Source organism: Homo sapiens, chromosome 3, assembly GCF_000001405.40.
Source record: "Homo sapiens chromosome 3, GRCh38.p14 Primary Assembly".
NCBI classification, from domain to species: Eukaryota; Metazoa; Chordata; class Mammalia; order Primates; family Hominidae; genus Homo; species Homo sapiens.
This window is the reverse complement of record NC_000003.12, coordinates 119,802,350-119,829,457: the sequence shown is the minus strand read 5'-3', so window position 1 is coordinate 119,829,457 and position 27,108 is coordinate 119,802,350. Positions and strand designations below refer to the sequence as shown.

The 27,108-nt window shown below is 46.3% G+C and overlaps 2 protein-coding genes across 7 annotated transcripts in view, besides 5 other annotated features; one reads left to right on the top strand and one right to left on the bottom strand.

Annotated features, from left to right (window-relative positions):
- GSK3B (glycogen synthase kinase 3 beta) overlaps positions 1–8,137 on the top strand; it is a 273,127-nt gene extending 264,990 nt beyond the window's left edge. For all 4 annotated transcript variants that reach the window (NM_001354596.2, NM_001146156.2, XM_006713610.4 and 1 more), the window contains one exon: positions 2,603–8,137. In NM_001354596.2, coding sequence (NP_001341525.1) covers positions 2,603–2,670 — 68 coding nt within the window. In that variant the 3' untranslated portion in view covers positions 2,671–8,137. The remainder of the gene's footprint in view (positions 1–2,602) is intronic.
- The window catches only part of NR1I2 (nuclear receptor subfamily 1 group I member 2), a 36,387-nt gene continuing 20,249 nt past the window's right edge, over positions 10,971–27,108 (bottom strand). For 2 of the 3 annotated variants that reach the window (NM_003889.4, NM_022002.3), the window contains exons 2-9: positions 22,011–22,229; positions 19,264–19,397; positions 17,732–17,919; positions 16,498–16,772; positions 14,337–14,479; positions 14,019–14,135; positions 13,627–13,732; positions 10,971–12,390 (exon numbers count right to left, since the gene is read on the bottom strand). In NM_003889.4, the coding sequence (NP_003880.3) occupies positions 12,246–12,390; positions 13,627–13,732; positions 14,019–14,135; positions 14,337–14,479; positions 16,498–16,772; positions 17,732–17,919; positions 19,264–19,397; positions 22,011–22,207 (1,305 nt within the window). In that variant the 5' untranslated portion in view covers positions 22,208–22,229 and the 3' untranslated portion in view covers positions 10,971–12,245. The remainder of the gene's footprint in view (positions 12,391–13,626; positions 13,733–14,018; positions 14,136–14,336; positions 14,480–16,497; positions 16,773–17,731; positions 17,920–19,263; positions 19,398–22,010; positions 22,230–27,108) is intronic. The other variant, NM_033013.3, reaches the window with a different exon arrangement.
- Positions 13,294–13,794: an enhancer, noted in NCBI's record as "H3K4me1 hESC enhancer chr3:119534511-119535011 (GRCh37/hg19 assembly coordinates)". NCBI's record gives its function as "activates a minimal SCP1, AML or CMV promoter by ChIP-STARR-seq in naive H9 embryonic stem cells {active_cell/tissue: H9 hESC(naive)}" and the evidence as "EXISTENCE:reporter gene assay evidence [ECO:0000049][PMID:30033119]".
- Positions 19,222–19,281: an enhancer, noted in NCBI's record as "active region_20326". NCBI's record gives its function as "activates an Ori minimal core promoter by ATAC-STARR-seq in GM12878 lymphoblastoid cells {active_cell/tissue: GM12878}" and the evidence as "EXISTENCE:reporter gene assay evidence [ECO:0000049][PMID:35858748]".
- Positions 19,222–19,762: a biological region, named in NCBI's record as "H3K4me1 hESC enhancer GRCh37_chr3:119528543-119529046".
- Positions 19,259–19,762: an enhancer, noted in NCBI's record as "H3K4me1 hESC enhancer chr3:119528543-119529046 (GRCh37/hg19 assembly coordinates)". NCBI's record gives its function as "activates a minimal SCP1, AML or CMV promoter by ChIP-STARR-seq in naive H9 embryonic stem cells {active_cell/tissue: H9 hESC(naive)}" and the evidence as "EXISTENCE:reporter gene assay evidence [ECO:0000049][PMID:30033119]".
- Positions 19,492–19,751: a silencer, noted in NCBI's record as "silent region_14633". NCBI's record gives its function as "represses an Ori minimal core promoter by ATAC-STARR-seq in GM12878 lymphoblastoid cells {active_cell/tissue: GM12878}" and the evidence as "EXISTENCE:reporter gene assay evidence [ECO:0000049][PMID:35858748]".

Sequence of the window (27,108 nt, the reverse complement as noted above, 5' to 3'; positions counted from 1 at the left end):
TTCTGATGATCAGTGCCTCCCATAAGTCCTGGGGAAGACCAGAATGACAGTTCTACCTGTTATCTTCCCATACTGAAAATGAGAAGGAAATGCTGTTGGATGATGGTCATGCATAGGTTCTGAGTGTCATCAGAGCATGTGACATGCTGCAATAAGCATGGGTTTGTGGTGTTCCAGGTTTTCTCTGGATTTTTTTTTTAATGCAGCCTGTGCATGAATCATGAAAATGAACATTTTATCTGAGAAAGGCTTGGAGGAATCTGTGGTCTAGACAGGAATTGATGTTAGGTTATTGATGCACAGAATGTGGATGATCATTAAGGGTAAAACTTCTTTAAACAGGGCATATCTAAGGAAGGTCAGGAGTCACGAATGAAGTGTTAGCATAGTTCCTCAGTGATTGTTAGAAAAGGTGGTCAGCCTGGCTTTGGAGAGTAGGTTCTGTGTCATATACCCTTTCCTGCCACCTGTTCATTTGCCATACTGATGAATTAATATGACCCCATTACATGGGCTATATGAACCTAATGTGTGGATTCTGATGCCATAATATCTTCACTTGTGTACATGACAACAAGATTAGAAGCAGCTTTAGCTATTTTGAAGGAAATTAAATGAATTAAACCTAATCATTCACATTAAGAGATATTCACATTCCTTCCCCAAAGGCTGTGCTAAATGTATATAAGGGCAGCTTATCGGGAAATTAGGAAGTATAATTTTTATAGATTGGCTTTAGAAATGATAAACTGAACAGCTAATCCATCATAGAGTTCCCTATGTGTCCTTGGATATTCTGTGTCTCCCTCTAATTCAGAAATTCAAAGTAGAAAGATCCAGGACCAAACGTTGCATTCAACCATGACATTGGTTATTCTACTCACCATAGCACATGGTAGATCTACAAATCCCTTCAGTCCTAGAGAGAAAAAAACTTCTGAGTCTGCCTTTCGGTGTCACCAACCTTGATGGCATTGTGGCTTCTAGAGAGATGGCTTTTCAAAGTTGCCCATCCCAGTCAAGCTACCTCTCTTGCTCAGGGCTTAGTGTGAAATCTTTGGGAGAAAATTTGGCCAGCAGTACCTTCTCTGTCATTAAGAGAGATGACAAGGATGCAACTTGATAGCCACTAAAACAGCAGTCTACTAAACCAATTTGGACACAGTTAGATGCCCACTTAAATGTTAATGGATGCTGTGAAATAATAATAGACCTTAAAAGGGGGGAGGAGATAATGGTTAGTTGTAGAGTTGTACGTATTTCTAAAAGATTAGGGCAAAGTAAGCTCTAAGTAAGTTCTACGTCAAGATTTGACTACAAGATGCTTTCCTTTTCTTAATTTTTAATTTTTGTGGGGACATAGTAGGTGTATATATTTATGGGTTACCTGAGATATTTTGATATAGACATGGAATGTGTAATAATCATATCAGGGTAAATGGGATATTCATCACCTCAAGCATTTATCCTTTATGTTACAAACAATCCAGTCATACTTTGTTATTTTAAAATGTACAATTAAATTATTTTTGTACTGTAGTCACCCTGTTTTGCTAGCAAATACTAGGTCTTATACATTTTTTTTTTTGTACCCATTAACCATCCCCACTTCCCCCACCCCCGCTACCCTTCCCAACCTCTGGTAACAATCCTTCTCTCTAACTCCGTGAGTTCAGTTGTTTTAAATTTTAGCTCCTACAAATAAGTGAGAACATGCAAAGTTTGTCTTTCTCTGTCTGGCTTATTTCACTTCACATAATGACTTCAGTTCCATCCATGTTGTTGCAAATGGCAGGATCTCATTCTTTTTCTTTTTCTTTTCTCTTTTCTTTCTTCTCTCTCTCTCTCTTTTTTTTTTTTTTTTTTTTTTTTAAAGACGGTATCTTACTGTGTCTCCCAGGTGGTCTTGGCTCACTTGCAGCCTCAACCTCTCTGGCTCAAGCAGTCCTCCCACTTAGCCTCCCATCTTTCTCTCTTATGGCTACATATTACCCCATTGTGTATATATACCACATTTTCTTTTATCCATTCATCTGTTGATACAAGATGCTTTATTAAATTGACTAAGTGAATTGGTACTGCAGTTGCTGTTTCTTTTTTGCTGGTTGTCTGTCTTCCATCTCTATGAATAATGAAGAGGGTCTGTTCTGCCCATCAACACTGACCCACGTTACTTTCATTGCCTCCACCTATTTACTTACTTAAGCAGATGGCATATTGTAACATGGTTCAAATTTTTAGCAAGTTTTCCCAGCTGTGCACTGTTCATTTATTTTCAAGTGAACTAGACTCCAGCTGAGTGTTCATATACAGCTGATCCCAGCTGTAGCAAGAGCTTTGACTGAAATGGTCTCTGGCTCCCTGAGTCTGCAACTTATTCAAAGACACTGTCTTCCCGGTACCAGGACCATGCTGAGGCATGAACTTAAATCCAAGAATAGAGAAATTCAGATTTCATAGTGTTGGCCTTATTTAAAACAACGTTCCAAATAACAGCTTGGAAGGCCATACAGTTCACAGCCTGCAGTTGAAACAGTGTACTTGTTCTCTTTTGTTGTTATAGCATTGCTCATGCTCTCTCTTGGGACTTTTTGACTTGCAGATGCTAATACTGGAGACCGTGGACAGACCAATAATGCTGCTTCTGCATCAGCTTCCAACTCCACCTGAACAGTCCCGAGCAGCCAGCTGCACAGGAAAAACCACCAGTTACTTGAGTGTCACTCAGCAACACTGGTCACGTTTGGAAAGAATATTAAAAAGAGAAAAAAATCCTGTTCATTTTAGTGTTCAATTTTTTTATTATTATTGTTGTTCTTATTTAACCTTGTAAAATATCTATAAATACAAACCAATTTCATTGTATTCTCACTTTGAGGGAGATCCAGGGGGTGGGAGGGGTTGTGGGGAGGGGGAAAGCGGAGCACTAGAACATACAATCTCTCTCCCACGACAATCTTTTTTTATTAAAAGTCTGCTGTTGTATACTTTAAAAACAGGACTCCTGCCTCATGCCCCTTCCACAAAAGAAGAAAACCTTTTTCTGTGCTGATGGGTTTTTTTGAACTTTGTTTTCTTTTAAAGTCTAGTGTGAGACTTTGGTATAGTGCACAGCTTGAAATTGGTTGGGAGCTTAGCAGGTATAACTCAACGGGGACTTAAATGTCACTTGTAAAATTAATCCATATCTTCGGGTATTTATAGACTTGCCTTTGGCATGTTGGTGGCAGGTGTGGCAGACAAAGAAATGTGTATCATTCGTAACCCAGGGAGGTCAATAAAGTTTGGAACTCTACAGGGAAGATTCTTAGTAGATTTGTTAAGGTTTTGTTTTGCTCTCAGTTAGTGCTAGTGATGTAGAGGCTTGTACAGGAGGCTGCCAGAGGGGAAGCAGCAAGCAAGACTCAGGCACACATGCTCTACAGGTGGCTCTTTGTTTGCCTGACCAAAGTTCTTTGCAAATCTTAGCACAGTTTCAAACTAGTGACCTGGGAGGAGATGGAAGGGGTGTTGAGCAGGCTGAGCTAGCTGCTGAGGTCAAAGGCTGATGAGCCCAGAGGAAGGGGACAGGTCAGGGATACATCTCACCACTGTGAATAAGTTTGTCCAGATTTTTTTCTAAAGTTACTTCCCTTGGAAAGATACACTTGAGAGGACATTGTAGTTAAATAATGTGAACTGTAACAGTCATCTACTGGTTTATTTTTCATATTTTTTAATTGAAAATTGAGCTTGCAGAAATAGCCACATTCTACACATAGTTCTAATTTTAAATCCAAATCTAGAATCTGTATTTAATTTGTTTTTTAACCTCATGCTTTTTACATTTATTTATTGATGCATGTCAGATGGTAGAAATATTAAAAACTACACATCAGAATGATACAGTCACTTATACCTGCTGACTTTATAGGAAAGCTGATGATATAAATGTGTGTATATATGTTATATATACATATATTCAATACTGCCTTTTTTTTTGTCTACAGTATCAAAATTGACTGGTTGAAGCATGAGAAGAATGTTTCCCCCACACCCAGTTAAGAGTTTTTGTGTCTGTTTTCTTTGTGTATCAGTGAACGATGTTAAGAATCAGTCTCTCTTTTTGAAGAAAAAGCAATATTCCTTGGAAAGCAAGGAGAATTGAAGGACTATGTTTGCCGTGAGGAAATAGATTTTCATGACTAGTTTGTTTTATACTTTTAAGGTTGGCATCTATGTGGGCCTTATATACTCTAAAATGAACTTTAGTCACCTTGGTGCTTATGGGCCATTACTTGACCTATGAATCTTTAAGGCACAATCAGTTGTACTTTACATTTAAAGATCACTTGAGTGATGGCCGCCTTTCCCTCCTACCCGCTCCTTCCCCACATGCCTTCCAAGGTTAGCTGGTAACTGTAGGGCTGCAGAGCTGAGCCCATGGTTGTGTGTAACTTGCCCTCACCCTCCTCATTGCCACCTTAGGTCACTTTATGGGTCTCGTCCTCCAGAGGGTTCGGAAGTGGAGTCTGTTGGCAGCCCTCCTGCAGGCCCTAGCACCCTGTCCTGCTCCTTAACTGTGTGTGTGACTCTCCAAGAGAGTTGTCCTGCCTGCTGAAGTGAACCAGTACCCAGAAAGACAACTGTGAGCCATCTTGGTTTTCACTCGCTGTTTAGCTGAGGTCTTGGGCCACAAAAGGGGTTTCACAAACCTCTGGATATATCAGAGTTTATGAGAAAGGAAACATGCTCAGTCAAACCAAATCAAACAAATTGAATTTTATGTTTTATAAAGTGCTTCTGAAAGCTAAGATTTGAAAGAAGTCTGAAATCAAAGTATTTGGCAGCATAACTCCTTAAAGGTAGTGGCGTTGATAGACCATTTTCAGACAGAATTTATAAAGAATCTGAAAAGGCAGGTCTGTGATAGAGAAATGGACCTGCATTCAGATCCAACTGCCCAGCAAGCGTTTGGATGCAGACACTGCTCTGGACGTGGTATACTCCCCAGAGTCCATAAAAATCAGTGCTTATTTTAGGAAACAGGTTGCCCCCCACAACTGGGGTAAAAGAAGAGAGAAAAGTCACGCTTTTCTCTCATTTCATTGTGTGTGCATGTGTGCGTGTGTGTGTGTGTGTGTGTGTGCTGAGATGTGTGATTTTTCTTTCTCAAGGATCATGGTGGGATCACAGAACTCTTTTATACAAGTGAGATCCAGGTCTCTGAATATCTTTTTGTATATAATAATAATAAAAAGCTCCTCACCAAATTCAAGCTTGTACATTATATTTTCTTTCTGTGTTTTTAAATTTAAGTTTTATTGTTTTGTATGTAAATATGTGGACCCAGGAACTGTTATTAATGAGCAAAAAGTTACTGTTCAGGGCAGTGATTCTGTTTAATAATCAGACAAAATGTAGACGAGCTTTTTAAAGCCATATAGTTTTAACTCTGTACAGTAGGTACCGGCCTGTATTATTGTAACAATAACTCTAGCAATGTATAGTGTATCTATATAGTTTGGAGTGCCTTCGCTTCCATGTGTTTTTTTTTTTAATTTGTTCTTTTTTAAATTTTAATTGGTTTCCTTTATCCATGTCTCCCTGTCCACCCCCTTTCCCTTTGAAATAATAACTCACTCATAACAGTATCTTTGCCCCTTCCACAGTTAAGTTTCAGTGATACCATACTCAGGAGTGGGAAGAGGAAATCATATTCGTAATTTCATTTCGTTGAAGCCCTGCCTTTGTTTTGGTTCTGAATGTCTTTCCTCCTCGGTAGCAGTGAGACCGGTTTCATTTCATACTTAGTCCATTCAGGGACTTAGTGTAGCACCAGGGAGCCCTAGAGCTGGAGGATATCGAATAGATTAAATTTTGCTCGTCTCTTCCACAAGCCCTAACCATGGGTCTTAAAAACAGCAGATTCTGGGAGCCTTCCATGCTCTCTCTCTCTCCTCTTTTATCTACTTCCCTCCCAAATGAGAGAGTGACAGAGAATTGTTTTTTTATAAATCGAAGTTTCTTAATAGTATCAGGTTTTGATACGTCAGTGGTCTAAAATGCTATAGTGCAATTACTAGCAGTTACTGCACGGAGTGCCACCGTGCCAATAGAGGACTGTTGTTTTAACAAGGGAACTCTTAGCCCATTTCCTCCCTCCCGCCATCTCTACCCTTGCTCAATGAAATATCATTTTAATTTCTTTTAAAAAAAATCAGTTTAATTCTTACTGTGTGCCCAACACGAAGGCCTTTTTTGAAAGAAAAATAGAATGTTTTGCCTCAAAGTAGTCCATATAAAATGTCTTGAATAGAAGAAAAAACTACCAAACCAAAGGTTACTATTTTTGAAACATCGTGTGTTCATTCCAGCAAGGCAGAAGACTGCACCTTCTTTCCAGTGACATGCTGTGTCATTTTTTTTAAGTCCTCTTAATTTTTAGACACATTTTTGGTTTATGTTTTAACAATGTATGCCTAACCAGTCATCTTGTCTGCACCAATGCAAAGGTTTCTGAGAGGAGTATTCTCTATCCCTGTGGATATGAAGACACTGGCATTTCATCTATTTTTCCCTTTCCTTTTTAAAGGATTTAACTTTGGAATCTTCCAAAGGAAGTTTGGCCAATGCCAGATCCCCAGGAATTTGGGGGGTTTTCTTTCTTTTCAACTGAAATTGTATCTGATTCCTACTGTTCATGTTAGTGATCATCTAATCACAGAGCCAAACACTTTTCTCCCCTGTGTGGAAAAGTAGGTATGCTTTACAATAAAATCTGTCTTTTCTGGTAGAAACCTGAGCCACTGAAAATAAAAGAGACAACTAGAAGCACAGTAGAGTCCCAGACTGAGATCTACCTTTGAGAGGCTTTGAAAGTAATCCCTGGGGTTTGGATTATTTTCACAAGGGTTATGCCGTTTTATTCAAGTTTGTTGCTCCGTTTTGCACCTCTGCAATAAAAGCAAAATGACAACCAGTACATAAGGGGTTAGCTTGACAAAGTAGACTTCCTTGTGTTAATTTTTAAGTTTTTTTTTCCTTAACTATATCTGTCTACAGGCAGATACAGATAGTTGTATGAAAATCTGCTTGCCTGTAAAATTTGCATTTATAAATGTGTTGCCGATGGATCACTTGGGCCTGTACACATACCAATTAGCGTGACCACTTCCATCTTAAAAACAAACCTAAAAAACAAAATTTATTATATATATATATATATATATATAAAGGACTGTGGGTTGTATACAAACTATTGCAAACACTTGTGCAAATCTGTCTTGATATAAAGGAAAAGCAAAATCTGTATAACATTATTACTACTTGAATGCCTCTGTGACTGATTTTTTTTTCATTTTAAATATAAACTTTTTTGTGAAAAGTATGCTCAATGTTTTTTTTCCCTTTCCCCATTCCCTTGTAAATACATTTTGTTCTATGTGACTTGGTTTGGAAATAGTTAACTGGTACTGTAATTTGCATTAAATAAAAAGTAGGTTAGCCTGGAAATGAAATTAAAATTCACAAGTGTGTGGTCTTTATTTCAGTACCCAACCCTCTTCCTTCACCCTACTATTTTGCCGCTGCAATATGTAGTCACATCACCATTTCCATTCCTCTAATTAGGGAAACATTAATCTTTGTTATACAGAACAAGATATCAATACCACTTCTTGTTCTTTCCAATGATTTTATTCCATTGTGTAGCCCCAAGAGGTGCAGCTTCCACCTTGGAAACCTTTGGATTTGATGTAGAGGAAGCTTTGCAGACACTGCTTAGAAAAGAAAGAAAACAACTCTGAAAGGGACAGTTTTTAAATGTGTATAAGCTGCTGTCTTTGATTACTGTGTTCATGATTTGGTGTGGCTGTATTTTCTTTTAACTTTCATCCTATTAGTAATGGTCTTTGGGGGTCTCTGTAAAATATATGGACACCACGAACAGTGGGGCTGTACCTCCCAGGTAACCAACACATGTTGTGTTTGAGTCTGCTCATTTCCAATACTGGATGATGTATGTAAACATGTTATGTCTCTTAGTGCAAAAAGAAACATCATTTTTTTAGGGCTGGCTCACTCTGTCAGGCCTAATCTAAAGGCTAGATATAAGGTCATGTGACTGCTGCTTCAATAAAAACAAATTTATATTCGATAAAGTGTGGTCCTCTTATTTATTTACTGTGGTGGTGGGGTTGGCTAATTCCAACATTGGTAAAACAGTTAAACACATTTAACCAGTAGGGGCGGCAGGGGAGGATTGGATTAGCAGAAACAGAAGTTACTTGTGCGATGCGCCTCCTGCTGGCACTGAAGTGCATTTGTTTGGGATTTGCTGCTGTCTTGCATAGGTTCTGGGATTGAGTTAAATATTGTGTTAGTGTCCTGCAAGACCTTTTAATTTAGAATCCTGAAAGACTGCCTTTTTAGTTTCTTTTCTTTTTTTTTTTTTTTTTTGAGACGGAGTCTCGCTCTATTGCCCAGGCTGGAGTGCAGTGGCGCGATCTCCGCTCACTGCAAGCTCCGCCTCCCGGGTTCACGCCATCTCCTGCCTCAGCCTCCCGAGTAGATGGGACTACAGGCGCCCGCCACCACGCCCGGCTAATTTTTTGTATTTTTAGTAGAGACGGGGTTTCACCGTGTTAGCCAGAATGGTCTCGATCTCCTGACCTCGTGATCCGCCCACCTCAGCCTCCCAAAGTGCTGGGATTACAGGCGTGAGCCTCCGCGCCCGGCCCCTGCCTTTTTAGTTTCTAAGTCTTTCCAAAAAGTACTGACCAAACAGTCCTTCGGGATCATATTTCAGGAGAGCAGTGATGGTAGATGTCATTTCGTTTTTTTTTGTTTTGTTTTGAGACAGAGTCTTTCTCTGTCGCCTAGGCTGGAGTGCAGTGGCGCAACCTCGACTCACTGCAACCTCCGCCTCTCGGGTTCAAGTGATTCTCCTGCCTCGGCCTCCTTAGTAGCTGAGACTACACCACGCCCGGATAATTTTTGCATTTTTAGTAGAGACAGGGTTTCACTTTTTTGGCCAGGCTGGTCTTGAACTCCTGACCTCAAGTGATCCGCCTGTCTCAGCCTCCCAAAGTGCTGGGATAACAGGCATGAGCCACCGTGCCCAGCCGGTAGATGTCATTTAGAAACGTGTTCTAGGAAGGTAGTGAGGAAAGGAGAGATTAGCTTTTAGATCCCTGTCATTGAGAAGTTTGTGAAAGGAAGTAAACAGAAGTGTTGGGATGGTCACACATTTCTCAAGTGTAGGAATATTTCACTCATCACCACCATCAGATTTAGGAGAGCTGAAGGACATAAAGGGAAACCTACCAGGAAAAAACAAGCTGCCGTGGAAGATGGCATAATGAGGCCCACAAGTTAGGAGTCAGGAGCTGGGAAGCCATGGATAATCATACGTATGTTTCTCCTTACATCCTCTTTCTCCAGAAGGGAGTGGCCACTCTGGCCCTTCCCACAGATTTGTCATCAATGTCAAGACTTAATTAGACAAAGTTCTGGGCTAGGTAGAGAGAGGCTGTTGAGTGGCCCTGACTAATGAGGGGGCAGATGGTAGCAGTAGCTTGCTTAGGTCTTTTGCCCTGAGCTTTGGAGACTGACTCCATCCTCTCCTCACTGACCCAGAAAAAAAAAAAAAAAAAAAAAGTGGTCACAAGGATGCCTAAAAACTGATGCTTAGTTCTGTTTACTCAAAAGTTCAGGGAAGGGAGTAAAGAAGAAACTCAAATGTTGGAGTAGGAAGGTTAAAATCTGGCTTCTAGTCCCATAAACTTGTGATCCACAGACCTACTGAAAGGAAGTACCCTATGTGAACTCTTCAGGGCATCTAACATTGAATCTTTCTTCACTCTTGAAATACATTTAGTTTTTATAATCTATATAAATTATATGTACATATCAATTCAATGTTTGGAGAACTACCCTGGAGTTTTTAAATCAAGACTGGGAGATGGAAATTTGCCCTCCATTCCATCTTAACCTCACCTTACCCTGTCCTACAGCTTACAACAGTTTCAGGCTCTTGAACAAATAGCACTCGAATCATTTCAGTAAGGAAAGGGAGATGCATATGATTTATGAATACACTGGAGTGAAATCTATCTTTCCAAATTAGAAATTTGTATTTCTAATTATAAATGGATTCATAATTAAAATTCCTGGGAGCAAAAGCTGCATTCATTGAGTTTGGAAAGAGAAGCTCTTTTTTTCCCTCAGTATCTTTTCTAAAAATAAGTGCTCCCTATATCTCCTTAATGCAGAAAAATCTGGTAAAGTCAGAGGGATGACAGAATATGTTTACTTGCTTTGATTTATATTACTGATGATTTACCATGTTCTCAAAGTTTGGCCTGCTTCTTGTAAAATGTCAAAAGCTAAGTAATTATCTGTTCTTTAAAATTCAGTTACTGTGAAGTTTCATTTGAATGAAATATTAGACATTTAAAATTAATTCCTACTTTTTTTTTTTTTTGAGACAGAGTCTCGCTCTTTCCCCCAGGCTGGAGTGCAGTGGCACGATCTCAGCTCACTGCAACCTCCGCCTGCCTGGTTCAAGTGATTCTCCCGCCACGGCCTCCCAAGTAGCTGAGACTACACGTGCCCAGCACCACACCTGGCTAATTTTTTGTATTTTTAGTAGAGACGGGGTTTCACTGTGTTAGCCAGGATGGTCTCGATCTTCTGACCTTGTGATCCGCCAGCCTTGGCCTCCCAAAGTGCTGGGATTACAGGCCTGAGCCACCTCGCCCGGACTACATTTTAATTATGGTATGCACATATGTTAAACTTTTATACAGAACAATCATTTTATAAGTAAGCCAAGTTAAATAATTCATTTTTATGTTCTTACGCCGGAGTCTTCAGATTTATACAGGATAATAATAAAATAAGTAGTAAAAATATGTATGCTTGCGTATGTTTCTATTTCCACACCCCCACATTATTTTCCCCAGAAAAAAGCCAAAAAAGTTTACCCCTCTAGCCAAAAGTACATTATTTAATTCCTTTTGCCTTGATTTGACATTAAACCCAGGGCTACATTTCCCAAAACTAGTTCTTAGGTGTGGAATGCCTTATATAAAGTATAATTTGTGAAAATGCAAAAAAATTTTTACTCACAAGTGGCTATAAACAAGGCAGGCACTTTCATACCCTTTAGCTTTGAGAATAGATGTGTACACAGAAATATAAGGTGCATGTAAATGGTTCTTCTCCGGTGTGTTTAACTGATTGTCAGCGTAGCCTTGTCACAGAGCATACCCAGCATTCCAGCCCCAGGAACAAACCCAGGCCCCATCAAGTGGCAAACAGACCTACCTACACCAAATCACACACACGCACTCACAGCTGCAGTTTGTGCCCTTGCTCCTACAGACTCATGTCCTTGGGAACCTTCACTTGGGTACCCAGTGCCCGCCATCACAGCTCAGCATCCACACAGGGAAATTCCTTGTGCTGCTTTTGTCACTTATCATTTCTCCTTTTGATCCAAATCGTTTGTGTTTCTGTTTGTTTTTTTAACTATAAACTCTGTGAGCTCAGGATCTATATCTGAGTCAATGCTGTATACCCCACAGCAGGCTACCTATTATCGGTGCTTAATAATGTGTTCAAATGGATGCAGAGACACAGAATGATGTGGCCGGAATGAGGTCATGCCAAGCTTCTGACATTTGGTGCAGGCCTCCTGGCTTCTCATCTCTCTAGAGGACTCCCACAGATACTCATGCGCCTGCCGATGAGTACAGGCCTGGAGCCCACAAAGCAGCTCGGAAGAGGAGGGGAACGAGTGGGAAGTGGGAGACAGGACTATTAGAGGTAGCAATGAAAAGACTCAGGAAGCGAACAAACGTGGGTATGTGGGCATAGACCCCAGATGGCCCATCCTTGGTCGCTTGGTCCCTTCCACACCTTGACACTTTAGTGGGATCTGAGGGATTTCTCCCCAGACCACAGGGCCTTTTAAAAGGAAAGGGCAACCTTGCCTCTCTGATGGTCCTGACCTACAGGTCAGTGCACTCTCCACGTAAGAGTCTGTGGCTTCACTCCCTACAGACTGAACTGGGGGTGGGGGGCACCCATGTCCTTCCTGAGGAATGCTAGCCAGCTGTCATAGCAGGAATTCCCTAGGGAGACAGGCCAGCAGGGCATTGTCGGCTCTTGGCAGTGTCCATCTGTCTTGGCCCGGGAGTGGCGGCTCAGAGGGCTCTGGGTCTGGCTGCCTCTCGGAGGTGTCACCCAAGGGCAGCCGCTCAGCTACCTGTGATGCCGAACAACTCCTGCATGAGGGGCGTAGCAAAGGGGTGTATGTCCTGGATGCGCAGCAGCCGCTGGGTGTGCTGAGCATTGATGCTGCGGAGCTCGGTGAGCATAGCCATGATCTTCAGGAACAAGAACCTGCATGCCAGCCAGAGAAAAGATTGTGGGTGCAGCCCGCCCTGACCCACAAGCCTCAGGGCTGCTCTGAGGCTGCACAAGCATAATCTCTGGACATTTCAGGTCAGCCAAGAGACAAGGCTTGGCTGAATTCCGTAAGCTTCTCTTTTACCCTGTAGATGAGAAAGGCAGAACAGCCTGCCCAATACTCTCCCCACTCCCATCCCATTCATGGGAGCTGTGTCTTTTTTTTTTTTTTTTCTTTAAAGGGACAGGATCTCGTTCTGTCACCCAGGCTAGAGCATGATGGCACGATCATGGACTCACTGCAGTGTCAAACTCCTGGACTCAAGAGACCTCCAGCCTCAGCCTCCTGGGTAGCTAGGACTAGAGCACATGCCACCATACCTGGCTAATTTTTTAAAATTTTTCTAGAGTTGGGGTCTGGCTATGTTGCCTAGGCTGGTTTTGAACTCCTGGCCCCAAGGGATCCTCCTGTCTTGACCTCTCAAAGTGCTGGGATTATAGGTGTGAGCCACGACACCCAGCTGCGGGAGTTGCATCTTTGTACACAGAGACTTCCGTGGGAAAATGTAGATATTGCAGCTACCAGTTTGGGGGTGTGGGGCTGTCACTGCCTTCGTTAATGTCCAGGGGCCAGGACTGAGCAGAGTCGTTGTGGAGGTTAGGGGCTGCAGGCTGGAATCCCTTCCTGGAACTAGCTTTGGATCTAGTGTCTGAGATGTACCATATGCCTCAGTATCCCCATGATGGAAAAGAAAGTTGGCACTTCCAGCCTCCTGCCTCCATACAAGGAAGGGTTGAGCAAATAAAGACATGGCCACTCCCAGCATCCCAGGACACCAAGCCAAAAAGAAAGCTGTGCAGGCCAAATAAGGATTTCAGTTTATAGGTTCACACTATAATACTCAGTGTTGGCCTTAACCCTTCATGGCCTTGGGCTCCGTAAAATCCAAGTTTGTCTCTGGGTCTGTGGGCATCAGTCTGGGCAGTAGGTCACAGGAGCTACTGAGGACCAGTGAAGGTATAGAAGCCCCTTTCTGGGCCACGTCCCCCTGTTTGCTTGTGTTTTTCCTGGGAAGTGGTTAGGTAGTGCTCAAAAGTGTGAGCTTTGGACCTGGTCTGGCTGGGGCTACCTCCAGATGCCACCCTCTGGCCATGAAGTCTTGGGCAATTTCCCTGAACCTCGGCTCCCTCACATCACCCTCACGGGTCCTCACCCCCTGCTGTGCTCACCTATGAGCAGGCTGGGGCCGATTGCATTCAATGTAGGACTTCAGAGTAATGGCGAATTGCTCCTGCAGCTGGTCCACCACGCGGTGCTGCAGCACACCTGGGCGGTCTGGAGGGGAGGGAGGTGTGGTGCAAGATCATGGGGCAAAGACAAGCTCAGTCCAGCCCAGAGTCAGGGCATTGCTCGCCAACCACCCTCCAGAGCTGGAGTCACCCAGGCAGGGAAGTGAAGGAAGACCAGGGCTGGGCATCACCCACTGACCCCAGGAGAAACCAGCGAGAGCCCCCATCCTGGCTGCGCAGTGAATGAGGAGCAAGGCCATAGACTGGGACCTTCCCTGGGGAGGGCAGATAAGGCTGGGGGGGATGTCAGGCAGCCTAGGGGAGATCCTCACCTGGGGAGAAGAGGGAGATGGCCTGCATCAGCACATACTCCTCCTCATGCAGCTGCAGCTTCTTCAGCATGTAGTGGAATTTCAGCATGGGCTCCAGTAGAAGTTGCTGGAAGCCACCTGTGGATGGTAACAGGATGGAGGGGCAGCTTCTCAGCAAGCTGACCAAGATCTAATCATCCCTCACCAATATCTTGTTTTCCACCATTCCATCTTCCTGCCCTGCCATCCCAGAACCTGCATATCCTGGCGTAGCTCCCTTCCTCCCATAACTGCAGTGTTTCCCTCCCTCTGCCAGGGCAGGCAGGCTCTCTCGGGCACCTGCAGTGTCTTCCAAGCAGTAGGACAGCCGGCCACACTCCCAGGTTCCAGTCTCCGCGTTGAACACTGTGTTGAATCTCAGTTGACACAGCTCGAAAGCGGCCCCCTTCAGCAGGGAGATCTGGTCCTCGATGGGCAAGTCCCTGGCAGCAAGGATGGGGAGGGGAGGACAGCTCCCTGGGAGGCAGCCCACAGACCGGCACCAGCAGCCATCCCATAATCCAGAAGTTGGGGGCGAGAGGAAGAGGGAGGATGGCTCCTTTCCCTGAGGATGACTGTGGCTGCTGTCTGGCTGCCTCTCATCTCTCCCCTCACAACCCAGCAGACAGCTCTGCCCCGCAGCATCCTCTCCTCCCCTCCAACCTCCGGGAACTCCACCCACTGAGCTTGGCATCCAGGTCCCTTACAGGCTGGCCCCATCTCCTTCAGCTCCTATACAAATCCTGACCTACAGCTAGTGCTTTGGCTTCTGGTCCCTGGCCTCCTCCTTTCTGCCTCAGTTTCCCCCTTGGAATGACTTCCCCTTTAGTATATCCTGCTAGCCCCTCAGGCCATGCTATGTCTTTGCCCCTCTCAGAAGTCTTTCCAGAGTGCAGTCTCCCCTTTCCAGAGTGAAAGTGCCGCCCTTTTGGCCTGAGTTCCAGTAGTGGGGATGTTTGCTTCCTGCTGTCGGTGTTGGGTTTAATGTGCACACATGTATTTCTACTGTTTCCCTGCAGCCCAGATGCCTGAAGCCCCACTCCTAGCGCTGAAGCACAGGCCTAACCATGGAGGCGGCTTAACAAGCCTCTGAGATTATGGTTACATGGATACCCTTCCGGTCCTGCAGGGATCACTCCCTCCCAACCTGGGAGGGGCCCCCACCTCCCCAGTAAGGAGGCATTCCTTACAAGGAGGAAGCTTCACAGCCTGAGAGGGAGGCTGCTTACTCTGGGTTTTGAGGAAACACTACCTCTTGGCCTTGGGAATTCAGACCCTGTGCTACTGGCGCCCATCCTTCTTTTAGATCCCTAACACTGAGCTACAAATGCCATGTAATTGATCTTATTCTTCTGTGCCTCCCCATTGCCCAGCTTAGGACCTGGCATCGAGCTGGCTTTGGTACTTCCAAATCTAGCCTCCACCACTGATTAGCTGTGACCTTGTACAAGTTTCTTATCCTTGGGGAACTTCAGTTTCTATCTGAGAATGAAGATGGCAGTGACACCTCAGGTCACTGTGCTCGACATTGGTGGCCTTGAGAAATAGCAAGTGGGAAGCCCTGGTGTTAAATTGTCAGTCACTGGATTTCACCAAAGATCTCCCAATGTCCACATTTATAAGTATTCTTCTCTCCCTGCCCCTTTAAGCTTATTTGCTACCATCTGAACCCCATTCCAAACCTGCTGTCAGCATCACCCCATTAAATAAGTCACGCATGACTCCTACAGGGCCAGAGAAGAACCTCTGGGCTCCTAGAGTATAACCTACCCTCAACCTGCTGAAGAAACCAGGAGCTTGTGGCAGGTGTGTTTCAGCCCCACTTGACCAGGCTTGGCAAGGCAAGGTGGCCTACCCAAGGACAGATACACCTGGCACCATCCCTAATCCTACGACTGCACACATATTCTGGGGCTGTGGTTCCTGCCACCCCAGGAAGTTCCCATGTCTCCCACTAACCCCAGTTGCCCGATGGTTGTTGCCTCCACATCTAGCTCTGGGGAGACCTGACCCTTGGGCTCTGAGGACCACCCGCCCTCCCCATGGCCTTCACAGCCTTATCTTTTCTATTCCTCTCATTCCTTGCTCTGGAACTGTCAACATGTGATTCCTGCCCCTTTAAGGGAGAGTACAAAAGACTATCTGAATGCCCACTCTGTGCTGGGTGTTCTTCGGATGTGTTCTTATTTCACAGAACAGCCCTGCAGGGGAGGCATTTTTAGCTTCCATTGAGCAGGTGAAGAGGCAGAGACACTGGCAGGCCCACAGCCACAAAACTAACCAGCCATACAGCAAGGGCTCTACTCCCCAGCAGCACTGGCTGCCCGGGGAAAGGGCACAGGAAAAGGAGGGTCTTCTGACACCAATATCCCCCAAATTCAGGATCTACCCCAGGCCCTTTGAACCTCCTGGCCACTTCCAGTTCTTTTCCACACCCAACCACCCAGTCTCCATGTCCTACCTGAAGTAGGAGATGACTTTGGCAAAGCTGATGATGCCTTTGAACATGTAGGTTGACATGTCAGCCATGTGGGGCAGCAGGGAGAAGATCTCTTTCCCGCCACTGTCGGCTGGGGGTTTGTAGTTCCAGACACTGCCATCCTCCCCCCGCAGCTGCAGAGAGACCTTCAAAGAGCACAGATCTTTCCGGACCTGGCTCCACTTGGCAGCTTCTTCCCTCGATGGGGCCTGCAGAGACTCTGGCAACTCGCAGCCACTGCTAAGCACCCCTGGCAGCTAGGACACATGCCAGGAGGTGGACAGAGGAGAGACAGCATGTGCTTTCATAGACAGGTCCCAACTCAGGCCCCAGCCAAACATGCACAGCCACAGTTGCAGCTCGAGAGGATGCACAAATGCAGGCATTCACACCCACATGCATGCGTGTGTCCTCACACATATACACACACAGCATTTGTTTCTTCTCTCTGGTGTTCTCTATCAGATGAAGGTGCTTTGGGGATCTATGAATTAATGGTCACACACATCCCTGCTTGGTTAAAATGGAGGGTAAGGGGGACTGCAACCATGGTGTGTCATCCCAAGCATTCCAGATGTTGGGCTCAGGAGACTCAGAAGGTTTAGGGTGCTATGGATGGGAAGAGCAGATCTGAGGTCACTGGGCTAATCCAGTTATTTGGGCTGTGAAGGGCCACTTGAGATATCTATCAGTGCAAAGGGGAAGGAGGGCACTTAGAGCACAGACATAGTTAATGTGCTGGGATCAAGAAACACCAGTTCACAAAAGTCACACCCCCAACAGGTCCTGATCCTGTCCTCATAAAGCCCCGAATGCCAGCAACACTGGGGAACTGCCTAGCTTTCCCTCCACTTATTGCTTAGACCCAGTTCCTACCTGCCTTAAAGGAGAGAGCAGTGATTTTTCAAACCTGAACCTGCAACAGAATCACCGGGGGGTCCTGCCCCTCCCTGGAGCTTCAGATTCAGGAGATCTGAGGTGACCTGAAAATCTGCATGCTGATGCTGCTGACCCAGGGACCACACTTTCAGAACCTTTGGGAATGAGACTAAGGCTTTGAGGAGCTAGCACAGATGCAGGACCAGCTCTCCAAATCTACCCTCCACCACTGATTAGCTGTGACCTTGTATAAGTTTCTTATCCTTGGGGAACCTCAGTTTCTATGTGAGAATGAAGATGGCAGTGACACCTCGGGTCACTGTGCAGTTCCTCCTACCCGGAAATTCTTGAAATGGGAGAAGGTAGTGTCAAAGGTTTTCATCTGAGCGTCCATCAGCTCCCTGATCATCATCCGCTGCTCCTCTGTCAGCCCCTGCACTCCCAGTGGCTGAGTCCCTGTCCGTTCACTTTTCTTCCGCTTGATCAAGGCCCGCCTCTCCTCCACGGCCTCGTCGGACATGATCACTGCAGGGACAGTGAGGCTGGCTCAGGCACACGTGCCCCTGGTGAGCCTCCAGCCCCCTGGAGAGCCACTGTGTAACCCTCTCAAGGCAGCAGAAGCCGTTAGGCAAAAGAGAAAGTAATGGTGACAAGCAATTCTCCCCTGTCTGGACTCAAGAGGCCTGTGGGCTCTTCTGGAGAAACACTTGGGTGAGGACAGAGATGAGGTGAGGCTGGTGTTTTGCCCTCTGCAGTGGAGTTTGTGAGGACACTGTGGGGCCCTGGCAAGAGCACGGGCTTCAGAATCCAAAGGCGCTGGGTTTGCATGAAAGCTTTGCCACTTACTACCTGTGACCCCAAGCAACCTCCTTAACCTCTCCTGCCTCCAGGTTTCTCCTTTGTGATCCGGAGAAACCGTGTTTACCTCGCACCGCTGTTAAATGAGACCTTGCATGTAGGGTGCCTAATATAGTTCCTGGTACATAAGAGATGTTCAGTAAATGGCATCTACAATTATCATTTTCTGGTGAATTATATACCAAGACTCTTCAGAGGTGTCTGGGTCTCCAAGACCCTAGAGAGCTGGGCTACAGCTTAGCAAGAAATAGCAACTCCAGAGACTTCTTATATAGCCCAGAGCCTTAGGGTCTTCTGTGGATTTCTGGAGCCCACTCATGTGTGTAGAACAAAGCTATGAGGTCCTTGGTGGGGAGAGATCAAGAATGCCTGCCAGCAGCCTAGAGAACTTGTCCTTGAAAGAAGCAGCTTTGGGTCCCTTTGTGTTCCATGGAGACAAATATGCACTAGAAACACCTAGCCTTTTCCGCATGAGCCTTAATCTCATAGTGACCTAGGAGCACAAATATATCAAAGTTAAATAGGTAGAATGAGAACACCTCATGTCACCTGTCTGCAAACAGTTCCCCTATAAAGATCCAGGTCTGGGGCAGCTGATGGGGCTAGCACCTAGAAGGCCCCGGGTCCTATCACCCATGTGGCTCCTGCTTCCCTCCCCCAGATTCACACTCCTACCCGCAAATGTGGTTTCAAACCATTACAACAATTATGAAGGGGACAAAAAGAATGATGCAGGAGCAACTGAGGGGAGACAGAGGGCACGCCCTGTCCAGGGCTGCCCAGCACACATCCCAGGGCAGAGATTACCGACTCCCTCCATCTCCCAGAGGGCCGACTGCAAGCGCTCCCCCAGGTGGCTGCCTGTTGCACACGGACACCAGCTCACATGTGCACGTGTGTTCACGCGCACACTCGGCGCGCATCTCCACACAAGCATGCCCACACCCACGGCACGTCCTTACTCAGAGCCGTGCACCCCGGCGCCGGCCCGCCCGCGCGCCCACTGCTCACTCTCCTTCTTCATGCCGCTCTCCAGGCACTTGCGCAGGCGGCAGGCCTGGCACTGTCGCCGGGTCTTCCGGGTGATCTCGCAGGCGCCCTTCCGGAAGGGGCACCTCAGCCGGGCGTTGCGTTTCATGGCCCTCCTGTGAGAGAATGGGGAGCAGAAGGGGGGATGCACGGGTGCCCGGGCCCTCGGCCTGGGGCTCCGGGCCATACCACCTCCCTCCCCAGCCCCTACCGACTCGGGGAGGGGGACACTAGCCTTTGCGTCCCAGCTGGGTCAGGCTTTATGGGAAGGGTGTAGGTGGGAGTCCCTAGAGGTCCAGGACTCAGCTAGAGGGGGCAGAGCCGGGGAGGAGACCTTTTCTGGCCATTCCGGCAGGAAATGGGACACGTGCTTTTCGCTGGCGCGGGCAGCCCCAAAACCACTTTCAGGGACACTTCCTCTCCAGGCCCATCCTCAGCGCCTTCCCTTCTTCCTGAAACACCTGTCCCCTTCTCTTTCACAGCCTTGTTACCAGAAAGTTTCCATGGAGATGGGCCTCTTCCTCGATTTCCCCTCCTTAAGGGAGGGAGCTGAGGAAACCTGACCCCAGGAGGGTAAGAAACCAGAGAAGCCCGCCCCACCCCCCCGCCTTCCCCCCCGCCTTCCCCCCACCCCCCGCCGCCTTCTCCAGCTCCCCTTCCAGACTGGGCGGCCAGGGAGGAAGGGGTGAACTATGGGGAAGTTCTTATACCCTACGGGGCAGCGACTTCCCCATGGCAGAGTGGATTCCCCTCGTTGACCTAGGGGGCAAAGAGGTCGAGCGCCTGGAACAGCAGAGCGTGCAGGCGGGACCCACGGGCCCGCACACCCCTCTCTGCGGTGCGCAGAGAGGCAATGGGGCAGATGCCTTTTGGAGACTCTGGTACAAGATCTCCTCCTCCCAGCCCGGAAGTCCTGCCTGTCCCACAAAAGACACGGTCAGTGCAGTCCTACCTTTACTTTCCCCATCTCCACAGCTGGATGGAAAGAAACAATCTCTCCCTTGGCTCTGGCCTCTGATTCTGGTCCAGAGTGGAAACTGAGGGAAGGCTGGCCCAGGAGCATGGAACAGCCAGGTAGGGCTGCAGAGGTCCCCGAGGGCAGGCCTGGGAAGCTGAGCCAAGCCCGCAGTGACCTGGCAGGTTTGAGCTTGGAGGCCTCGGGCCTCGGACCAGTGACCAGCCCAGGGGCATGTTCTTCACAGATGCCATCCCTGCCTTTTGCCTTCCCAACTGGCCTGGGTAAGAAAACTCTGATGCTACATCAAAGTCCACTGAGAATGGGTAAAAGATGAAACCGGGGCTCACATTATTTAAAGGTATGCTATGTATCAGATGCTAGGCTAGGTATTTTGCAGTTTTGTAAATTTAGTTCTAAAACCCTGTGAAACTCATAATCTCATCTGCCTAGCACAGATGAGGGAGACTGAGGCTTGGAGACGATGGATCCCCAGCTGTCCTCCAGGTACATGACAAGCTGAAATTTGAATCCAGGTCTGCCTGATACTGGATTTAGCTTTTGCCCACTACAACATGTTGCCTTTTTCTGAGAGTCCCAGGAATAGTACCCAAATGAGGAAGGGAGAGCAGAAGATTCCTGCATGCTGAGGCAGGATGCACGAACACTGCTTGGGCAGCCTCTTCTGTGCCAGCAGCATCTGGAGCTGGTGCAGACATCCACCCTCTTCCACACAGTCAAGTGGCGTGTGCCCAGCTCAGGGACATACCTGCTGCTCTTTGCTAGTGACTAGTTCAGGCATAGGCTGGGCCCGGCTCTAGCCAATGTGAGGGGACTCCTGGGAAAGATTTCCTTACTCTCAAAGATGGGCCTTTGTGCGCTTCTGCTGAACATAATGATTCCTGCCTGGGGCCCCAGCACTGTGCCCCCACAAGGGGAGCCAGACTGCAATCAGAGCTCTCAGGTGGGATGGCTGAAGAGAAAAATGGAAAGAAATGAGCTGCTGAACTCACTAACCTGGAGGCCTTCAGACTTCCTGTTAGGAGAGGTAACACATTTTCCTTATTGCCAAACCAATTGGCGACAAGTGTCCTGTGACTTGTAGCTGAACCCAGTCTGACACTGCTGATGTGTCTCACCCCTGTTATAACTCATGCAACACGAATGTTCATTTCTCCCTGGAACCTGCCCTTTTCCATTTGAATGCCCAGCCACCACGAAGAACTCTGCAAAGGGCTGTCAGGCTGGCTGTCTTGGGAATGCATGAGGGTCCCACATGTGGCTCCCGAGATGGGAGCTGCTCCTTGCATACCCTGTGCCCTCCGGAGGGTGCACCTGGAGTGCTTCCTCACACATGGCTTTCTCCCCTCCCCGCCCTTCCCCTCCCTTCGGTCTGTTTCTCTTCCCATGGTCTAAGCATTTATTTTATGCCATTCTTTATGTAACAACCACCCCAGAAGGCGGATGTGAACACTTGGATTTGGGATTTTCAAATTCCTTATCTTTCACTGAGTCATTTTCCATTTTATTCAAGAGCACATGGAGAAACCAAGGGATATCTTAATGGAAGGAGACCTTTCCTGGGTAGAACAGGAAGACTGAAGATGAAGGATTCCTCTGGGATATAAATGGCTCCCTTGAGACTAATTACAAGGCCTTTGGGTGGGCCACCAGCCCACACTCTGAACCTGGGGGACAGGTCAAGCTGAGGCCCTGAGACGTTACCCAGTGGGTCAGTGGTGGCACGTGGGTGAAGGCTGATGGGTAACTCTACCTGAAAAAGCCCTTGCATCCTTCACATGTCATGACATTGAAGTGATAGCCAGTGGCCTTGTCCCCACATACACGGCAGATTTGGGGACCTCCGACTTCCTCATCTGCGTTGACACTGGGCTTTCCAGGAACAGACTCTGTGTCCTCACAGTGTACAAAGTCAGCATGGTTCCAGCTTTCTTTGGGTCTCACCTCCAGGTTTGCTTCTGGGCCTCTTGGACTAGAAATGAGAAAACCACAGAGAATGAAAAGACTGGACAGGGATGTGTAGAGGCCTCAGAGGAAACACTCTGTCCCTTCTATGCATCACTCACATTTGGGCCTGTGAACTCGGGAGCTGACCTCTCATGGGGAAAAAAAGCGGGGAATGGGGGTTGGAATTGTTATAAAGAGAGCTGTAATCATGACATTTTGTACACAAAAATAGAGCCCTGGAGTAGAACATGTGAACAGGAGCATGGGAAAGATAAGGGTAAGAGGGAGGAAGAAATGAGAAGAAAAGAGAGCAGGCTGTCTGGGTCGGATCATGGAGGCCACAGCTGAGTGGACTGAGGTTAGGAGGCCACAACCTGGCCAGAGGTCTGAATGGGGAGCAGCTCATGGACAGATTACTTGTTCAAGATGATTTCTGGGACTGGGGACATTGAGGGAGGATAGTCTTTCAGGTGGGGTGTGGCCCAAGCTCCCACAGGGAGCTAGAAAGGCTGAGCAGAAAGAGTTTTCAACTAAGTAGCCAGGCAGATGGGGAAAAAGTGGAGGCATGGTGGGCAAGATCACAACATGGGAAGAAAAATGGCCTGTGGTCCCAGCAGAGCTGGGGTCTCAGTGAATATTGAAGAACTTGTGCCTATTAATAGAGCTGTAGCTAAGCATGGTGGCTGATGCCTGTAATCCCGGGGCTTTGGGAGGCTGAGGCAAGAGGATCGCTTGAGCCCAGGAATCTGAGACCAGCCTGGGCAACAAAGTGAGATCTCATCTTTACAAAAAATAAAAAAAAACAGCCAAGATCGATGGTGTGAGCCTATAGTCCCAGCTACTTGGGAAGCTGAGCGGGGAGGATCTCTTGAGCCTGAGGGTTTGAGGCTGCAGTGAGCTAGAATCATGCCAGAGCACTCTAGCCTGGGTGATAAAGTGAGACCTCATCTCTAAAAGAAAGAAAAAAAATTGAGCTGTACTCAAGGATGTCCTCCCCAGGCAACTTCCACCTTGAGAGCATAACTTGAATTCTACTTGGAACAGACACTGAGGATGTTCAGTAGAAATGGGGGATTGTCCTGTTACTACCATCCCCAAAATTCTCTCTAGGCACTGACTGACAAGGGCAGACACCACCACAGATGACGATGCTTTTTCTAATGCCAAAATCGAAACTTTAGTAAAATTCTAACACATAAATTTCTGTTTCCAACATCATGACAGGTGACATCTGACAGTTTCACCTGTAAGAGTAAATAAGGAATTAATCTGTCTCTGACCCTGGCCCTCCATTACACTGTGAATAAAATACATTGACTGGAAACCTGAACTGAACAGGCACAGGGGAAAATCCCTGATTTTTCAAATCATAATCCTGACTTTATGTAGGCTTGCAGACAAAATGTATACTTTAGGTGTTCACAAAAACCTCAAGCCAAAAAGTTGATTTAAGATTTAAAGTGCATTTGGGTTGGTAATTCTCCCAGACACCCAACAGAAATCCTCCTTTTTTTTCTTTTCTTTTCTTTTTTTTTTGGTGGGGGGGAGGGGGGGACCAAGTCTTGCTCTGTCACCCAGGCTGGAGCGCAGTGGCTCCATCTAAGTTCACTGCAACCTCTGCCTCCCGGGCTCAAGCGATTCTCCTGCCTCTGCCTCTTGAGTAGCTGGGACTACAGGCACCCACGACCATGCCCAGCTAATTTTTGTATTTTCAGTAGAGATGGGGTTTCACCATGTTGGTCAGGCTGTTCTCAAACTGCTGACCTCAAGTGATCTGCCCGCCTCAGCCTCCGCCTCAGCCTCCCAAAGTGCTGGGATTACAGGCGTGAGCCACCGCGTCTGGCCAGAAATCCTCCTTTTTGGGGGAACTCACTTTCCACTTTATACCTAGGCACAAATAATCACATATAATTTCAAAGAAATATGAGCAAATACTCAGAAGTCATGAATGAAAAGACTGGCACAGCATGATGAGCAAGAGTCAGCAAAACAAAACAAAACAAAACAAACCAAAAAAACTTCTAGAATTAGACATGAGAAAATGCCCTGAGTTATCAAACACAGAAATGTTTAAATAAACAGTACGAGAGGTTGAAGACATAAACAAAGAATAAACGACCATAAAATTGACCAAGCAGATTTGAAAATGAATAAAAATTTACTGTAAAAATCGGAATAAACAATGACTTCATAAACCAATAATAATAATATCTTGGGAGTTAGGAAAAACAAAATACAACTAAAATATGGATGGATGCAGTAACTAAGGTTCTGTATTGTTGAAGGGAAAAAAAGATGGTAAATCTTAGATTTTGATTAGTAAAGTGTGCTTGTTGAAATGTCTAGGGTTATCATTAAAAGTCCAAAAATAGAATGCATAACTTGGAAGCTAATAGAAAGGAAAAAATGGAAGGAAAAAAGTTCAAAAGAAGGCAATTAGAGAGTTAAGAAACTGAAAGGGTGAGACGAATAGAAAACACAGATGTATGGTAGAAATACCAAATATGGGGCTGGGTGCGGTGGCTCATACCTGTAATCCCAGCACTTTGGGAGGCAGAGGCAGGCAGATCACCTGAGGTTAGGAGTTAGAGACCAGCCTGGCCAACATGGTAAAACCTCACCTCTACTAAAGATACAAAAAGTTAGCCGGAAGTGGTGGCGGGTGCCTATAATCCCAGCTACTTGAGAGACTGAGCCAGGAGAATCGCTCAAACCCAGGAGGCGGAGGCTGCAGTGAGCCGAAATCGCGCCACTGCACTCCAGCCTGGACGATAAGAACAAAACTTCGTCTCAAAAAAAAAAAAAAAAAAATACCAACTATGTTGGTAGTTAAATGTAAATATATTAAATGTAAATATATATGTATATATATATTTTTTGAGACGGAGTCTCGCTCTGTCACCCAGGCTGGAGTGCAGTGGCATGATCTTGGCTCACTGCAAGCTCCACCTCCCAGGTTGACGCCATTCTCCTGCCTCAGCCTCCCGAGTAGCTGGGACTACAGGTGCCTGCCACCACGCCTGGCTAATTTTTTTGTATTTTTTTTAGTAGAGACAGGGTTTCACCATGTTGGCCAGGATGGTCTCGATCTCCTGACCTCGTTATCTGCCCACCTTGGCCTCCCAAAGTGCTGGGATTACAGGCGTGAGCCACCGTGCCTGGCCATTAAATGTAAATATATTAAAAGACACTGTGGGACTGGATGTGGTGGCTCACGCCTGTAATCCCAGCACTTTGGGAGGCTGAGATGGGTGGATCACTTGAGGCCAGGAATTCAGGACTAGCCTGGCCAACGTGGAGAAACCCCATCTCTACCAAAAATACAAAAATTAGCTGAGTGTGGTGGCGCGTGCCTGTAATCCCAGCTACTTGGGAGGCTGAGGCATGAGAATCGCTTGAACCTGGGAGGCAGAGGTTGCAGGGAGACAAGATTACGCTACTGCACTCTAGCCTGGGCAACACAGTGAGACTCTGTCTCAAAAAAAAAAAAAAGTACACTGAGAAAGATGGTTTCAGCAGGTAGCTGCAGCAATCTTAGGTTCAGGATTAGTGTTTTGGGACAGATTTTGTATTAGAGAATATGGGATGGAACAGATACCAAAATGGAAAATAATGATTATTCAGGTCCTTTGTAAAAGGTCACTCATTGTCTTAGTGCATTCAGGTTGCCATAACAAAATATCGGAAACTGAGTGGCTTATAAACAACAGAAATTTATCTCTCATGGTTCTGGAGGCTGAGAAGTCCAAGATTAAGGCACTGGTAGATTCAATGTCTGGTAAGAGCCTGCTTCCTGTCATCTATGGCACTTTCTCCCTCTGTCCTCATATAGTGAAAGGGGCTAGCCAGCTAGCTCTTTGGGTCTCTGGGACCTCTCTATCTCTCTCTCTCTCTCTCTCTCTCTTTTGAGACAGAAAAAAAAAAGAAAGAAAAGAAAAAACTCTGCCACCCAGGCTGGAGTTCAGTGGTGTGATCTCAGCTCATTGCAGCCTCTATCTCCTGGACTCAAGCGATCCTCCAACTCAGCCTCCTGGGACTACAGGTGCATGCCACCATACCCAGCTACTTTTTTTTTTTCATTTTTAGTAGAGGCAGGGTTTCCCCATATTGCCCAGGCTTGTCTGCAACTTCTGGGCTCAAGTGATCACCTGCCTCAGACTCCCAAAGTGCTGGGATTACAGGCATGAGCCACCACACCCGGCCTCTGGGGTCTCATTCATGAGGACACTAACTCAATCATGAGGGTTCTACCCTCATGACCCAATCACCCCCCAAAGTCCCCATCTTCTAAAGCCATCACACTGGGGATGAGGATTTTAACATACGAATTTGGGGGAAACATAAACATTCAGAACATGGCACTCATTTATTCCTCATAACAATCATCATAGCATTTATCATATTGCTCAACAGACATGTGTTGAGCATCTACTACACACCAGATATATTCTGTTATGTATTCCAAATAACTTGGAAGTCACTCTTATGACAAAAACCCAGGGACTTTACATAACCCTCTAACTGTTCACAGACACAAAGAGTGTTCCAAAATCAAAGAGCATCACAGGCAGGCAGAGAAAATGTTATTAGCAGGATAGTATTTCAGAGTGTACATTAGAAGAGACCAACCTCCCTTACATTTTCAGCATCATTCAGGAGCCATGAGGGATAGCAGCACCTGGGGCAATGGAGACAGTTGGCAAAGATTCTGCACATCAATTGTGAACTTTGGACAATTGAAGATGGTGAGATGCTGCTTTCTCGCAATAAATATAAATGCTCTTCCCCATAATGGAAGTGACAAGTACAACATGACTACATGAATCACAGGAGAAGCCCACAGGTGACATGGACCAAGAAGATAAAAGAAATATCACCAAAGGACCAGAAAAAAGACATTTACT